General features: G+C 42.4%; 1 protein-coding gene across 15 annotated transcripts in view; it reads left to right on the top strand.

The window, feature by feature from the left end:
• Positions 1-17,895, top strand: part of FAM135B (family with sequence similarity 135 member B) — a 367,708-nt gene that overhangs the window by 247,495 nt on the left and 102,318 nt on the right. For 14 of the 15 annotated variants that reach the window (NM_001362965.2, NM_015912.4, XM_011517062.2 and 11 more), the window contains one exon: positions 7,168-7,294. In NM_001362965.2, the coding sequence (NP_001349894.1) occupies positions 7,168-7,294 (127 nt within the window). Of the gene's footprint in view, positions 1-6,213; positions 6,901-7,167; positions 7,295-17,895 lie in introns of those variants that run through there. The other variant, XM_011517069.3, reaches the window with a different exon arrangement.

Raw genomic sequence — 17,895 nt, 5'->3', positions numbered from 1 at the left:
GATTACAGGCACCCGCCACCACGCCCAGCTAATTTTTGTATTTTTAGTAGAGACGGGGTTTCACCATGTTGGCCAGGCTGGTCTCAAACTCCTGACCTCAGGTGATCCACCCTCCTTGGCTTCTCAAAGTGCTGGGATTACAGGCGTGAGCCACCACACCCAGCCCATTCATATGGTTTGATTCTTCCCTTCAGTGAATTTTCCCAGAACATGTTCCAGATCATGTGAAGCACTGAGGTTCTATGAATGCCCCAAGTAGAGGGACAGAACTGACAGCATCTAGCATATTGTACCATGCTCACCTGTCTTCATATCTACTCCCAGCATGGCCAGATAGGTGCATGAAATAATTTCAAAACATTACACATGCACATGGGCAAAAGTTCCACGTGTGCAATGTTTATGCGTAGAATGTTGCAGCATGGTGTTTCCAAAAGGGATCTTTCCTGATTTCCCTTTTCTGAATGGCTTCTCAGTGCTGACAGTTTAGGTGCATGTACAGGAGACTAGAATTTTCACTACGTTTGCTGTTCTTGTCCTGAAGCCCCTGTTCTCTGCTGGGGTCAGAGAGTAGGAAATTAGTTACCCAATCTGACCCATGCCACGTGACCAGGAGCTGCTGCCCCTGAAGGTGTGATCCAGTGACCACGCCCATCTGCTGGGTTCCTTTCCTGGCTCCATTATTCTTTCATTCAATGGGTATTTACTGGGGGCCTGCTGTGCTCTAGGGAAAGTGTAAGTGAATATGCAGTACATTCTACTATGGAATATAAAAATACTGTGGAATACATCTTTCCCTCAGTGAGTTCACAGTCCAGTGAAGTGGGCCCATTCGCATATATGAAATTATAATATGGTAAATGCCGTTGTGGTAGAGTTTGGTAGAAAATGTTACAAGATTCACAGTTATAGAAACAAAGGACAGCAGACCTGACCTTGGGAAGTGACAGGAGACATAGAATCCAGAAAGCAACAGAGAGTACTATCATCCTGTGAAGAATATTCCCACAGGATATTCCCTAGCTGCTAATGCACTCCAAGGCTTGGCAAATCACATCCTCAACACAGAGTTAAGGGCATGATCTGTCTGCCCTCTGCGAGGTGAGGCTAGTAAGGTCAGGTCCTGGGATTAGCAGGCTGTCTCTGCTGAAGATGAGGCAAGAGAAGGTGACAGACAGCCTGGGGTAGGAAAGGCAGAGCTTCCTGCAGTGGATTCTGGGGCCCTAGGATCAAATTGTTCTTTCATCGGCTGGAGTCAAGACCATCTTATCATCTAGCCCTACCACTTACTTTTTGGGGATCCTTGGATAAGTCACCTAACTTTTCTAGCATCTGTTTCAACATATAAGTCAATGAATGAGTCAAAGGAACTTTCATTTATTTTATTTTACTTTTATTGTTTTTTTTTTTTTGAGACAGCGTCTCACTCTGTCTGTCACCCAGGCTAGAGTGCAGTGATGCAAATTCAGCTCACTGCAACCTCTGCCAACTGGGCTCAAGTGATCCTCCTGCCTCAGCTACCCAAGTAGCTGGGACTACAGGCAGGAGCCGTCATGCTTGGCTAATTTTTGTATTTTTTGTAGAGACAGGGTTTCACCAAGTTGCTCATACTGGTCTCAAATTCCTGAGGTCAAGCAATCCACACACCTCAGCCTCCCAAAGTACTAGGATTATAGGTGTGAGCCACTGCACCCAGCCGAAATTTTTTAAAAATGAGATGTGATACTAACCCGACAGGGATGATGAGGAGGTGCAATGGGATGAAGTATATAGTGCTGCATGTGGTGAAAACATGCTTGCTTCAAGGTGGGTGTCACTAAGCTTTAGCCACTTCTAGAGAGGCCATGTCTGGAAGCTCTGAGATAAATCAAGTCTGGCATCATTAAAGTCTCAGAGTGTGGCAGAAACACATATAGACCAAACTGTAATTCTGAGCAATACCTGTTAAGCAAGGGATGTGGGAACCCAGTGTAGGGTAGGAATTAAAGGGATGGTTTTTAGGATTAGACAAACCCATGTTGCAAATCTGAGCCCCCTGCTTGTTAACTCTGTTAGCTTGAGCATGTGAGTTTCAGTTTCGGTACATACCAGAAAGCTTTTAGAATGATTAAATGAGACAGCACATGTAAAAGCCTTGGCCATTCATTCAGTCGATTTTTATTTAGCACCTCCCATATTCCAAGCCCTCACCTAGGCCTCATGTCTAGCACATAATAAGCATTTAGTGAATGCTATGTAATTGTTAGCATGGGAAAGAAGCAATTCTACTTCAGGGACATGAGAGAAATCTTTCTAGAAGAAACATCCTTTGTGCTACATCCAGAGGATAAGAGACTGTGACAGTGAAAAGTGAATTTGGGATGGTAAATTGGAGTTATAGTTTAATACAGTAATTAATGGCACATTAAGGAATTGAGAATTTGTTTATTGTATAAAAAGGAGGCACTGAAGGTTTTGAGCAGTAGAGTTACCTGGTAAGATCTATGTTTTGTAAAGACTCCAGCAGCTTTGAGTTGGTTAGACTGGAAGTTACATCAGATTGGAGGCCGGTTTGGTGATGCAAAGTGTTTATGCCAACCGAAAGGGCAGAGAGCAAGTGTATTAGTCTGTTCTCACTCTGCTATGAAGAAAGAACTGACAGTGGGTAATGTATAAAGGAAAGAGGTTTAACTGACTCACAGTTCCACAGGGCTGGGGAGGCCTCAGGAAACATACAGTCATGGTGGAAGTGGAAGTAAACACATCCTTCTTCACATGCCAGCATCAAAGAGAAGTGCTGAGCAAAAGGATAAAAGGCCCTTATAAAACCATCAGATCTTGTGAGCACTCACTCACTATCACAAGAACAGCATGGAGGTAACTGCCCTCATGATTCAGTTACCTCCCACCAGATCCCTCCCACCACATGTGAGGATTATGGAAACTACAATTCAAGATGAGCTTTGGGTAGAGACATAGCCAAACCATATCATTCCACCCTAATCCTTCCCAAATCTCATGCCCTTGCGTTTCAAAACACAATCATGCCTTTCTAACAGTCCCTCAAAGTCTTAATTCATTCCAGCATTAACCCAAAAGTCCAAGTCCGAAGTCTCATCTGAGACAAGGCAAGTCCCTTCTGCCTATGAGCCTGCAAAATCAAAAGCAAGTTGGTTATTTCCTAGATACATTGGGGGTACAGGCATTGGGTAAATACAGCTGTTCCAAGTGGGAGAAGTTGGCCAAAACAAAGGGGCTACAGGCCCCATGCAAGTCCAAAATCTAATAAGGCAGTAATTAAATCTTAAAGCTCTGAAATAATCCCCTTTGACTCCATGTCTCACATCCAGGCCGTGCTGATGCAAGAGATGGGCTCCCATGGCCTTGGGTAGCTGTGCCCCTTGACTTTGCAGGGTACAGTCCCCTCTACTGGCTGCTTTCATGGGCTGATGTTGAGTGTGGCTTTTCCAGGTGCATGGTGCAAGCTATTGGTGGATCTACCATTCTGGAGTCTGGGGGATGGTGGCCCTCTTCTCATAGCTCCATTAGGCAGTGTCCCAGTGGGGACTCTGTGTGGGGGTTCTGACCCTATATTTCCCTTCTGCACTGCCCTAGCAGAGATTCTCCATGAGGGGTCTGCTCCTGCAGCAAACTTCTGCCTGGACATCCAGGAGTTTCCATATAGCCTCTGAAATCTAGGTGGATTCCCAAACCTCAATTCTTGACTTCTGTGCACCTGCAGGCTCAACATCAAGTAGAGGCTTCCAAGGCTTGAGGCTCGCACCCTCTGAAGCCGTGGGCTGAGCTATACCTTGGCCCCTTTTAGCCACAACTGGAGCAGCTGGAACACAGGGCACCAAGTCCCTAGGCTGTGCACAGCAAGGGGGCCCTGGTCCCAGGCCCTCAAAACCATTCTTTCTTCCTGGGCCTCTGGGCCTGTGATGGGAGGGGCTTCCATGAAGGTCTCTGACATGCCCTAGAGACATTTTCCCCATTTCCTTGGTGATTAACATTGGGTCCCTCATTACTTATGCAAATTTCTGCAGCAGGCTTGAGTTTCTTTCCAGAAAATGGATTTTTCTTTTTTATTGCATCATCAGGCTGCAAATTTTCCAAACTTTTGTGCTCTGCTCCCTCTTGAAAGCTTTGCTGCTTAGAAATTTCTTCCACCAGATACCCTAAATCATCTCTCTCAAGTTCAAAATTCCACAGATCTCTAGGGAAGGGGCAAAATGTTGTCTTTGCTAAAGCATAGCAAGAATCATCTTTGTTCCAGTTCCCAAGAAGTTCCTCATCTCCATCTGAGACACCTCAGCTTGGACTTCATTGCCCATATCACTATCAGCAATTTGGTTAAAACCATTCAACACGTCTCTAGAAAGTTCCAAACTTTACCACATCTTCCTGTCTTCTGAGCCCTCCAAGTTTCTAGGAAATTCCAAACTTTCTCACATTTTCCTATCTTCCTCTGAGCCCTTCAAACTGTTCCAACCTCTGCCTGTTACTCAGTTCTAAAGTCACTCCCACATTTTTGGGTGTCCTTATAGCAACACCCCACTCTCTGTGTTACCAATTTACTGTATTAGTCCATTCTTATGCTGCTGTGAAGAAATACCCAAGATTGGGTAATTAATAAAGAAAAGAGGTTTAATTGATTCACAGTTCTGCGGGGCAGAGGTGGCCTCAGGAAACTTACAATCATGGTGGAAGGGGAGGCAAACATGTCCTTCTGCACATGGCGGCAGCAAGGAGAAGTGCTGAGCAAATGGGGGAAAGCCCCTTATAAAACCATCAGATCTCATGAGAACTCACTCACTAGCAGGAGAACAGCATGGAGGTAACCACCCCCATGATTCAATTACCTCTCACTGGATCCCTCCCACAACATGTGGGTATTACAAAAACTACAATTCAAGATGAGATTTGGGTGGGGACACAGTGAAACCATATTAGCAGGCTTCACTCCCATTTTATAATGGGGTCCCTGATACTATTCTATTGAGAATTTGGGAATCTTAGAAATCTTAGTAAAATGTTTAACCTTCCGACAGAAAGAGTCTTTTGCAAGTTTGTCTGCAGCAACCTTGCTGGAGTGAAACACAGACAGAAATTCACAGTAAGGGCTAGACTTCTTCAGGGTTGGGGGTAAAAATAGAATTGTCTTCTGTCCTCTGGATTTTGCAGAAAGAACTTCTATCAGTTGGATCACAGCAGCTGGAAACAAAGGGAACCCTTTAAGTTTGTGGGAAATACCTGTCAAATAGGGCAAGCACTAGCTTTTCCAGAAAAGCAGTTTTTCACAGCATCAGTTAAACACAATTATCATGAAATAGGTGTGAAATTAACATTTAACCTCCAAAACCCCTTAGCCTTCACTAAAACAAGCTGAAGCAAAGAATCCAATTTTTAACCCCCAAATGGATATGATTGGATTTCACTTGAGGGATTCAGATCCACCAGAAAAGCTAATTAAGACCACCCTTAAGTAAATAACAAGTTATTTTAGTTATTAATTTGCAGTCTGTCCAGTGAATGTGCCAGGAGTATTCACATAGACACTTTATACTTTTCTTCTGGAATGTTCCTTCTATCCATCTTATAGCTAAATTAGAGAGTTGCTTCAACTTGCAATTGAAAACAAATCAGAACAATGATTCTATTTTATTATATGTGTGGTATTAGCAACAGATAGCTCCTAGCATTGATGGAAGCCTTGCTGCTTGCCAGACACTGTACTGGAAGCTGCCTCTGGCTTATCCCATGGGACCCCAACAACCACCAAATGGCTAGGGTGCTGGTATCAAACCTTCTGACAGGGAGAAGCAGAGTTAGGGAGATTAAAAACTTGCCTCAGGTCACACAGCCTTTAGGGAGTTGAACCCTGAGAGGCTGGATTTATTGCCCCCTCACTGCTTGACCATACTCTGAGGATCATCTCTGGACACATTCTTTTCACCTCGTTTGCATCATAAATTGCTCTCCTGCACACACTGGCCTGAGTTTTCCTGCATTGTATTACATCTATTGGTTTCCTTTGCTCTTTAGACAAATGTCTTTAAGGTGAAGGCTGTGCCTCAATCATCTTATCATCGTAGCACCTAACCCACTGCCTGGCATATGGTATGGGCCTAATAAATATTTGAATAAATGAATTAAACATAAATATAATGCTAAATTTATTTTCCTGTCAATATTTTAAGCAGGAACCTGGATCTCTTGGATTAAGCCCTTCCACAAATGTTTCTTGAGCACCCATAGTGAAGATGATGAAGATGATGTCACCTGGGGCTATTTATTGTCAAGACCCTCTTTGCCATCAGAGACTTTAAATTTTACTGAGGGACTAAAACATGCCTAGAATATAGTATCCACAATATGACAAAACATCCATTAGAAAAGAAATGAAACAGAAGAGATCTAAAAAAGAATATGAGTATAAGTGAACATTACTGGTATATCAATTGATGAAAATCAAACAGGTAAAGATAGAGGAAGATGATCATAAACTCAAATATGATAAATTTGAATAATCACACATCTTTTCCTAATCTCCTTTGATCCTGAAATTGATCATTGCCATCACAATATGTCCATTAATCTTTGGATTGCAGAGCTGGGCAGGAACTGCACATTTGTGAGCTGAGCAGGTTATGGTCTTCCCAATTAGCGTTGACACAGCGAGTGCTTTCTGGCTTATGACAGTCTTTGACATCGTATTAGACTCTCATGCGGATCATGGAGGAAGATGTTTTATGCTTTTCCACAGAAGAAAAGAGGTCCAGGGAGGGAGGAGTTGGTGGAAGGAGCAGGGACAGGACTCAGACCTTGTCTGGTCAGAGTTGCCCCTGAAATTTTCGGAGCCCATGCCACCTTCCCCTCTAGTGATATAAGCTTGGAGCTCTGCTTCAGTGTTTCTTACAGGTATGTTGTTGGCATTTAGGGTGGGCATTTACATGCACACATTGTAGGATGTGTATCATCATTGACTTTCAAGCTTACGTGCCAGTTGTACCCTCTTTATCATCAAAATATCCACAAATGTCACATGCAAACACTCCCTAGGGGGTGAACTACTCCTAAATGACTTATCCCAAATGCTTCACAGGAACACTCCTCAAAGGGGCTGAGTTAATGGCACCATCACTTTCTTTACCTCCTTTTTCACCCTTTCAATTATCTTTTGTTTAGTTTTACTCGTCCAGGAAGAGGCTCCTGGCTTGGTAAAGGTGGCCCAGACACCGGACAAGAACAGTCTATCATTTCTCTGGAAAACTTGGTCTTTGGAGCTGGGTACTGCAAGCCGACTTCCTCAGAGGTAAGGCCTGTGTGGGGCAGTTGCTTCAAAACTTTCAAACTTTACTTTGCAGAGTGTATGTTCTATGAGATTCATGCTTCTTTGAAACATCCCCTTCAGAGATTTTTGCTAATTTGACCCTTCCTTTCACCATCTTCCCACCCCTTGTTTTTATCACTACAAGCTCTATCAGACATATTTCTAAGGCCAAGCCCTGGGATAGATACAGGGAATATGGTCTTCATATGATACTTGTTATATGTGGTCTCTTGGAAGAATATGGTTCTCTGTAGGTCAGGAGGCTGTGCTGTGAGGGGGCCACTCAGACTATGTGATAACGTTGAAGGCCATGTCTGGTTTCAAAACCTGGCTCCCGCTTTCATTTGTGCACTCTCTGAACATCAGTTTTCCCACCTGTAGAGTGGGCTCCCCAATAGCTAATAATCTCATGGAGTGTTATATGTACCCAAATGTTGTAATAAATGTAAAGTTCCTAGCCCGGTATCCAATACTCACTAGCTGCTAACTAAATATGCATATCCTGTCCTTCCCCTTGTTCTTTTATCCTAGGAAACATCCCCTGCTCTTCTGTGATGTGCAGGGCTTTAACCACACAGGGTATGATTCTGCTCATATTTCTCCCAAGCCAGTATATGCTATGTTTTTATTAGTGGCCTACTCATAAATAAACAGCCTGTATTATTCAGGGTTCTCCAGAGAAACAGGACCAATACAGCCAATAGAACACACACACACACACACACACACACACACACACACACACACACACACACACAAAGAGATTTATCATAAGTAATTGACTCACATGATTTTGAAGGCTGAGAAGCCCCCAAATCTTCAGTCAGCAAGCTGGAGACCCAAGAGTGCAGGTGGTATCATTCCAGTCCAAGGCTAAAGGCCTCAGAACCAGGAAAGCTAGTGTTATAAGGCCCCTTGCAAGTCTAAGTCCAAAGGCAGGAGAAAACTGATGTCCCAGATCAAAGACAATAAATAAGAGAGACAGTTTTCTCTCACTCAGTCTTTTTGTCCTATTCAGGCCCTCAATGGATTGGATAAGGCCTATTCATGTTGGAGAGGGCTATCTGCTTTATTCAATTGACCAGTTCATCCAGACATACCCTCACAGGCTTACCTAGAATAATGTTCAACCAAACGTCTGGGCACCTTGTGGCCCAAGTAAGATGACACGTAAAAGTAACTGTCACATTAATAGTAACTATCACTACTAATTTCTGAGTAGCCCACATTATAAGTGTGATAAACTGTCCATGCCCAGTCAGCCCCGCAAAAGAGGTGTTCTATCCTCCTATACAGTCAGGCTCTGTGCACAGACTGTTCAGAATATTAGGTAATGCACTCAGCTGGCTCTCCTGTGATGTTATCTTTGCTAGCTCTGAGACCCAGCCAGGAGGTCTGGTGGCAAAAGCTGCCCAACTCATGTCTTCATCTTGTCCAAGCTGCTGTGTCACATGATTTTATGGTCCTGAGAAGCAAAGAAAAGAGTTGTCAAGAACCTGCTGAGGGGACCTGAAGCCAGAATGGGGTTCTGTGCCATGGAAGGAGCAGATTTTAGAGCCAAATAAGACCAGTTCCAGGGTAGACTCCGGTGACTTGTAGATGCAGAACTTCAGTCAACCACTGAGCTTCTCAGAACCTGACGTCCTTAGCACTGACGCAGGGCCCAGCACATAGGAAGTGAATGAGTAAGAAAGCGAGTGGAAAGCAGTGAGCCCTGTAGCATGTCATTGGACTGTCCCTGCTGTGGGTCCTTTGCTACAGGACCATCACTGAGGCAAAGCTCCCCGTGGTCGGCCGAAGCCTTTGCTGTGACTACATCACAGTTCAGCTTCTCCCTATGTCCAGTCTTCCTTCCTTCAGCCCCCACGTGGGCTGGCACCCAGAGTTTCAGTAGACCCCATTGTAGAGACTGAAGAGTCTCAGAGCCAGTGCTGGCCCTCAGAACGTCAGAATCTACTGCCTGAAAATCTTCCACTCAAACTCTGTTTTCCAGGGAATGTGGCCTGGGGCGTTAGGGAATGTCAGTGGTCACAGATCAATTCAAAACACTTTCAACACTCATCTCCCAAGCCAAGGGCCTTTGCTGAGGCTGCCACAGGAGGTTGTGAAGATGATTATGAGAAGGTTTCTGTCCTGAGGGACTCTGATGTGCAACTCCCTGTACACCCTCCAAGACTTTGTCAGGTGCCACCACTAATATGAAAGTACTCTCTGATTTCTTAAAAAGAAATACTTTCTCTTCAATTCTCTAGGCATTTCTGTCCTTCCTCCACTGGGCTCTGAGTGGCTGGGAATAGAAACCAACTCATTCAGCTCCCCATCCCTAGGGCCAGCACCATGCCTGCCATACTCAGTGCTCAATAAAAGTGTGGGGAATGAATGATACAAATGTGTGAATCATATTCATGTAGGAAGCTGAGAAGCAAGACACTGAGGCCACACAGACCATTCATTGCTTCACACGGCAGGAGCCAGTAACCAAATGGGAGGCAGCTGTGGAGTGAGGGGCATCTCTGCTGACGTGTGTGTGCCCAGCTCAGAACGTTAGACCTGGTATGAAGTGGGATGGAATGGCACACATGATAGACCATTTCAGTCCACCAGACTCTGTTACAAATGACATATCTGAGCACGGCCCAGCCAAATTTCTATCTCGGAGACTGTTACAATGCGGTAGAAAGCAGACTCTGGTTACAAATGCCTCCTATGATAAATGCTATGTGGCTTGGGGGAACTCATTCACTCTTGTGGAAACTTAGTTTTCTTTTCTTTTCTTTTTATACTTTAAGTTCTAGGGTACATGTGCACAATGTGCAGGTTTGTTACATATGTATACATGTGCCATGTTGGTGTGCTACACCCATTAATTCGTCATTTACACTAGGTATATCTCCTAATGCTATCCCTCCCCCCTCCCCCACCCCATGACAGGCCCTGGTGTGTGATGTTCCCCTTCCTGTGTCCAAGTGTTCTCATTGTTCAATTCCTACCTATGAGTGAGAACATGCGGTGTTTGGTTTTTTGTCCTTGCAATAGTTTGCTAAGAATGATGGTTTCCAGCTTCATCCATGTCCCTACAAAGGACAGGAACTCATCCTTTTTTATGGCTGCATAGTATTCCATGGTGTATGTGTTCCACATTTTCTTAATCCAGTCTATCATTGATGGACATTTGGGTTGGTTCCAAGTCTTTGCTATTGTGAATAGTGCCGCAGTGAACATACATGTGCATGTGTCTTTATAGCAGCATGATTTATAATCCTTTGGGTATATACCCAGTAATGGGATGGCTGGGTCAAATGGTATTTCTAGTTCTAGATCCTTGAGGAATTGCCACACTGTCTTCCACAAATGTTGAACTAGTTAAACTAAAGAGCTTCTGCACAGCAAAAGAAACTACCATCAGAGTGAACAGGCAACCTACAGAATGGGAGAAAAATTTTGCAATCTACTCATCTGACAAAGGGCTAAAATCCAGAATCTACAAAGAACTCAAACAAATTTACAAGAAAAAAACAACCCCATCAACAAGTGGGTGAAGGATATGAACAGACACTTCTCAAAAGAAGACATTTATGCAGCCAATAGACACATGAAAAAATGCTCATCATCACTGGCCATCAGAGAAATGCAAATCAAAACCACAATGAAATACCATCTCACACCAGTTAGAATTGCACTCATTAAAAAGTCAGGAAACAACAGGTGCTGGAGAGGATGTGGAGAAACAGGAACACTTTTACACTGTTGGTGGGACTGGGAAACTTAGTTTTCTTAACTGTGAAATGGGATCACATCTACCTTCTAGGGAGGATTTCAGAAGTTAATATGTATAAAAACATCACAGAAATAGACTTAGGCCCATGATACAGTATAGCATTTTCTTTTTATTTCTCTTCTTGGCTATTTTTGGGGATGTGTGTCAAAGCAGACATCCCTGTCTTTGACCAGACTCAGATAAAATGGTTTATTTGTGAGTGCTTAGCTTTGAACTTGCTCATGGAGTTTAGCTCAATGGGTTATTTTCAGGACTTGATTCTTTTCCTGTGCATTTTCCATTTGAGTCCCATCCAATTATGCAGATTCAGTGCTGTGCACCCACCCTGTGCCTTCCCACCAGACAAGTGCTGCCAAGCAAAGAATAAAATCCACTCCCTCCACCTCCCCTGGGAGCTTTGTATCCAAATCCCTGAGAAGCCCAGCGCATTAACAAATAACATTGGAATCCGCACAGATTGTAGCATCAGCTGGAAGGATTAGAGAACAGGTGTTCCCTTCAAAATAAGCCTTTCCTTGCAGAGACATTTGCAAAACTGGACTTTCATAGCAATACGAGCTGATTGGCGTAAAAAATCACAGGGAGGTAAGGGTTGCTGAGACAGGCCATGTCTTTTTCTCATTAGCCCTGGCCCCTCTCCCCTCGTGGCCTCTTTTCTTTCCTACAGCACCTTTGACATCTAGACATTCCACATTTAGAGTTGGTGGAGCAAGCGCTTATGTTCCCTCTGCATCTGAAACCAGCAGCTTCACACTAGGGGAATTATTTACCCTCTTTGACTCTTGGCTTATCAGTCAAAGGATATACTAATGCCTGGCTCACAGGGTTGCTGAGAGGATTAAATGAAATAAGCTTATAAAGGCCTTGAGCATACAGCCTGACACAAACATGCCCAGTAAAAACCTCCTGCTGATATTATTTTTTTCTGTCATTTATCCACATAATTAAATCAAATCTTCCTCCAAGAGCTTCAATGCAGCCTTGTGGTGAGACATTGAGTGAAGAGTCTGCCACGTGGTTTTCCTCAGTGCCAACCTGCTGTGTGACCTTGGGCCAGGCACCTACCCTTCTGGGTCTCAGTTTCTCAAGGTATAGAGAGATAATTGGATATGATCATCCCCGAGGCCTCCTTTAGCCTTTTGTGTGCTGCTTTTACTGTGATATCCCTGACACTGCCTGGTCCAGTTGGGGGCAGCTGGCACATGCTCGATGTATTAGTTTCTCCCGAGTAACAGAACCAATAAGTTGTATATGTGTGTTTGTGAATGTGTATGTGTGTGTATATTTTAGATTTTAAGAAATTGGGTCATGCACTTGTGGAGGCTGGCAAGTCTAAAGTCTACAGGGTAGGCTGGCAGGCTGGAGACCCAGGGAAGAGTTGCCATCCAAGTTGAATGCAGTCTGCTGGCAGAATTTCTTTTTCTTTGGGGAAAGTCAGTCTTTTTCTACTGAAAGGTCTTCAACTGACTGAACAGGGCCCACCCATACGACTGAGGGTTATCTGCTTTACTCAAAGTCTAATGAATTAAATATTAATTTCCTCTAAAAGATGCCTTCACAGAAACATCTGTAATGTTGGACCAAATACCTGGGTTTTGTGAACTGGCAAGGTTGAGACATAAATAGCCATCACAGCTGATGAATACTCAGGCTCTGACAGACCGTCATTAAAGATCAAGGATTCAGGCTGGGCACTGTGGCTCACGCCTGTAGTCCCAGCACTTTGGGAGGCCGAGGCGGGCAGATCACCAAAGGTCAGGAGTTCAAGAACAGCCTGGCCAACATGGAGAAACCCCGTCTCTACTAAAAATACAAAAATTAGCTGGATGTGTTGGCGGGCATCTGTAATCCCAGCTACTCAGGAGGCTGAGGCAGAAGAATCACTTGAACCCTGGAGGCGGAGGTTGCAGTGAGCTGAGATTGTACCACTGCACTCCAGCCTGGGTGACAGAGTGAAACTCTGTCTCCAACAAAAAAAAAAAAAAAAAAAAAAAATCAAGGATCCAGTTACTCAGAGTGAGGTGCACCCTGTTCTTCCCCAAGGAAGGCTGCACACCACTTTTCTTCTCACTGACATAAGGAGGGCTGTTCCGTCATCCGACGGAGGAATGGCAGCCTGGTGGGAAGACACGGACTTTAGGGAGATTTCTTTGTCTTCAGATCTCCATTTCCTTGGGCAGAGGCTTTAGTACATGTGCTCATTTATTTATCTATCAGCCATTTATTTAGCCCCTACTGTGTGCTAGGATCTGTGAGCTGCAGGGACTAAGACAATGAATAAAACTCAGTGCCAACCCTTAATGGATCCTGTGATCCATTCACCATGTTGTACATGAAACAAAGGAATAATTAAAAATTACACATTTCACCATAGTGTGAAAAGCATGTTATTGATCATTTCGAATCACATTTTTGAACATCTACTTTACATCAAATATGCTGGTAAGCCACTTATGTGCATGGACTTCTTCAATTCACAGAATGGCCCTTTCATACTTCCTTTTACAAATGAAGACATTGAGACTGGGAGAGTTTAAGTATGTCACTGCTGCCACACAGCTGAGCAGGGACCAAGCTGGAGTTTTAAATCAGTGAGCCTGATGCCATCTCCTCATCCCCATCATTAACCATGATGTGAATGTTTAACCAAAGAAGGTTGTGATACCTTTCGTCCTTCTTTGGAAGGATGTGATAATATTCTAGTGTGTATGTGGGGATGTGTGTGTGTGTGTGTGTGTGTGTGTGTATGTGTGTGTGTTCTTTATCCATTTATTCATTGATGGACATTTAAGTGGTTTCCATATTTTGGCTTTTGTGAATAATGCGCCAATGAACGTGGGAGTGCCAATTTCTCTTGGAAATCCTGATTTCAAATATGTTGGATATATATCCAGAAGTGGGACTCTAGACTCTAAGCTCCACCAGAGCAGGGTGCGTTTCTGATTTATTTACCTATGTATGCCTGGCACGTGACATATGGCCACGAAGCCTTTGTTGAGTAAATGAGTGTTGGATGCCTTGGAATCTGAGAACATCTGAACGCAGAAGAACAAAGGAACTTACAGATAGAGTGTCCGGCATTTGACTTTCCCAACAGACCTGTTTCCAGCCTGCACATTGAGCCTCCCAGTTCCTTGGCTCACCCGTGGAGATCATAGGTTTGGCCTTGCAGTGGGGAGCACCTTTCTCTGAGATGAGTGTGCTGGCCAACAAAGTGAAATCCTCCTTCCTTTGTTTTACTTAGAAGATGGTTTCCCAGACAGAGGAGTGCATGTCATTGAGAAAACGTACAAGGTTGCCACTCTGAAGCTGTCTTTAAGTCGAATTGCAGAGAATCGTAGAACAGTATCTTCCTCAGAGTGGGTAATGCTCACACTGGACAAGAGGATGTGCTTAGCTTTATAAGGCTCCCACCATGCCGAGCCTTGTGCCATGACAGCCCCTTCTCCTCTGATGGGAGGTGTGTGTCTGGCAGGGCAGGGTGGGGAGGGGGAAACTGAGGCACAGAGCTGCCTCTCAGGCAGAAATCTTATTTCTTCTAAGTAGGCTCTTCTTCTTATTCTCTTATACCCATTTCTATTGGATTCTTTGCACTTTGCCCTTGCTTTGAATATGCCCTTGCTTGTTACTGTGAACACCCTCATATTCTTTTCATGAGGATGTAGTCACATACGTAAGACACAGACATGCATAATTATCATTAAACATGACATTATGTTGTCTCTAGACAGGACATCTCTTTGAGCAGAGATACTGCCATTGGTTTATTCACTAATCAAACATTAATCAAGCATTAACTCTGTCTCAGGCACTGTGCAAGGGGTTTGTGATGCAGCAATGGAAATGACAAGTCTTCATCCCAGCCTGGTGTAGCATCTTCATTTCTAGAGCCCTTGGTGCTCATTAGTTTCTGACACATTGTGGGTGTCAGTCAGTGCTGAGTCAATAAGTGAGGTGAGGAGATAGAGACTTACATCTTCTTATATCTACAATGAGTGGCCACTGTAGATGTAGCCATCAGACATAATAGGCACAGTGGCTAGGGTCTACAGTACTTTTTAAGGACCAAAGGAAAGTTTTGATTTCTTTTAAAATCAGAAAAAGATAAGGAATATGGTCCAGTCTGAATTATAGTCACCTTTATACAAACAGGTGCAAAAATACAATTTTAAATACTTGTTTTATGGATGAAGGAGGCCTATGGAGGCAAAGGTGCCTGGGGCCCACAAAAGTCATAATTCAGCTCTGAGAGCAATTATTATTATCCCTCATTATCGTCTCCTGATTATAGACATAGAAAAACTGAGCCCAGTGAGCCTGGAGGACTTCCCCAAGGCTTGAAGATGTGAACCTAGAACTGAGTCCTCTCTGGCCCCAGGCTTTACTAACACTCATTGCAGCAGCATGTCTGCCTATACACGGAGTGTGCCACAAGGACATTTGTACACTGATGAAGTAGCTGAATACAAGAGGCGCCACTGTTTGACATTTTTAAATAATATGCTTTAAGGTTAACTACCTAGAGAAGGACCAAAGTTACCAGAAAAAAATGTTTTTCAGGTTCATCCCTGTGGTTACATGTGGCAGGATTTCATTCTTTATTAAGACAGAATAATATTCCAGTGTGTATGTATATACAGATATGTTTTTCTTCATCCACTCATTCACTGATAGACATGTAACTTGTTTCCATATCTTAGCTATTGTGAATGATGCTGCAATGAACAAGGGAGTGCAGATTTCTCTTGGAGATCCTGATTTCAAATATTTTGGATATATATTCAGAAATGGGATTTCTGGATCACATAATAATTATATTTTTAGCAATTTGAGAAGCCGCCATATTGTTTTTCATAGTGGCTGCACTATTCTACATTTCTATCAATGTTGTACAATGATTCAAATTTCTCCATGTTCTTTTCAATACTTATCTTTTATACTGTTGTCAACACATCTTTTTTTTACAAGATAAGTGTTGACAAGTTTAATTCATTTGAGTCTTTTAATGCAAAAGTCAGCAGTATTGCTTACTTATACACCATCCTTTTTATTAATGAAAATTGCCTTGTTCCATGTCATCAGCCTTCTGATGCCTTGCTCCTTACCAGTATTTCTAGGCATGATGAGAGATGTCACGTGATGACAATGAGGTGTGAATTGATATCTCATTTTGTTTTTTATTTGCACTTCCTTAATAATTAGTGATGCTGAGTATCATTTCATATGCCCATTTGCCATTTGTATGTCTTCTTTGGATAAATGACTATTCAAGTCCTTTGCCAATTTTAAAAATCAAGTTTATTTATTTATTTATTTGTTGTTGTTGTTGTTGAATTGTAGGAGTTCCTTATGTATTTTGGATATTAACCCCTTATTGGATATGTGGTTTGCAAATATTTTTCTTCCATTCTGCAGGTTGCATTTTCACTCTGTTGATTGTTTCCTTTGCAGTGCAGATACTTTTTAGTTTTGTGTAGTCCTGCTCATCTATTTTTGCTTTCCTTGCTGTTCATTTGGTGTCATATCCAAGAAATCATTGCCAAGATTAATGTCATGAAGCATTCCCCTTATGTTTTCTTCTAGGAGTTTTACAGTTTTGGGTCTGACGTTTAAGTGTTTAATCCATTTGAGTTGATTGTTGTATATGGTGTAAGATATTGGTACAATGTCATTCTTTTATGTGTGGATATCCAGTTTTCCCATCATCATTTGTTGCGGAGGCAGCCATTTTCCCATTGTGTGCTCTTAACACCTTATCCAAGATCAGTTGTATATGAGTTGGTTCATTTCTTAGTTTTCTATTATTATGTTAAAACCACTTTATTGAGGTATGAGTGGCATAAAACCTATACATATTTAGCGTCTACAATTTGGTGAGTTTAGATGGGCTTGCAATTTGATTCAGTTGGTCTATATATCTGCTTTTATGCTGTTACCATACTGTTTTAATTACTGTAGCTCTGCAATATATTTTGAAATCAGGAAGTGTGATGCCTGCAGCTTTGTACTTCTTTCTCAAGTTTGCTTTGGCTATTTGAGATCATTTGTAATTCCATATGAATTTTAGGACTATGCTCAGTGACATCAACTAGTCACAGAACAACAAATACTACAGGATTCCACTCATAGGAGGTATCTAATATAGTCAAGCTCATAGAAAAAGATAGTATAATAGTGGTTGACAGTGGTGAAGAGGAAAGTGGGAGGTTGCTGTTCAATGGGTGTAAAATTTTAGTTATATGGGATGGATAAATTCTAGATATCTGCTGTACAACATTGTGCCTATATTAAAAATACTGTATTGAACACTTACAATTTTGTTAAGAGGATAGATTTCAAATTAAAAGTTTTTACTGGCATTTTAAAAAATGAAATAAAAAATAAGTTACCAAGAAAACATAAAAACACAAGTTATTTAAAGAAAAAAGTTTTATAGTTAAAAAACTGTACTTCATAACTTTTACTATTTTAAGAATTAAGATGTCAAGCACTTTTGCACTTTCCCCCATTAAAATTACAAAATTTTAAAATTTATCTTTTAAATGATTGCTTGATTTAATAAAATCCTGCAAGATAAATACAAGTTGCCATACCATACACACACTAAGGGGGGCTTTGAGTAAATGGTGCATTACATCAATCTGCATATGAATCCAACATATTTCCACAGTTCATTTTCATGAATCATATAAATCAATAAAAATGGTTCTTTAATGCAAAGGTCTACAGTATTGCTAAATTATAGACCACCCTAGTTTATTACTGAAAATTGCCTTGTTCCACATTGTCTGCCTTCTGAAGCCAT

This window comes from Homo sapiens, chromosome 8 (genome assembly GCF_000001405.40).
Source record: "Homo sapiens chromosome 8, GRCh38.p14 Primary Assembly".
NCBI classification, from domain to species: Eukaryota; Metazoa; Chordata; class Mammalia; order Primates; family Hominidae; genus Homo; species Homo sapiens.
This window is presented reverse-complemented; position numbering and strand designations above follow the sequence as displayed.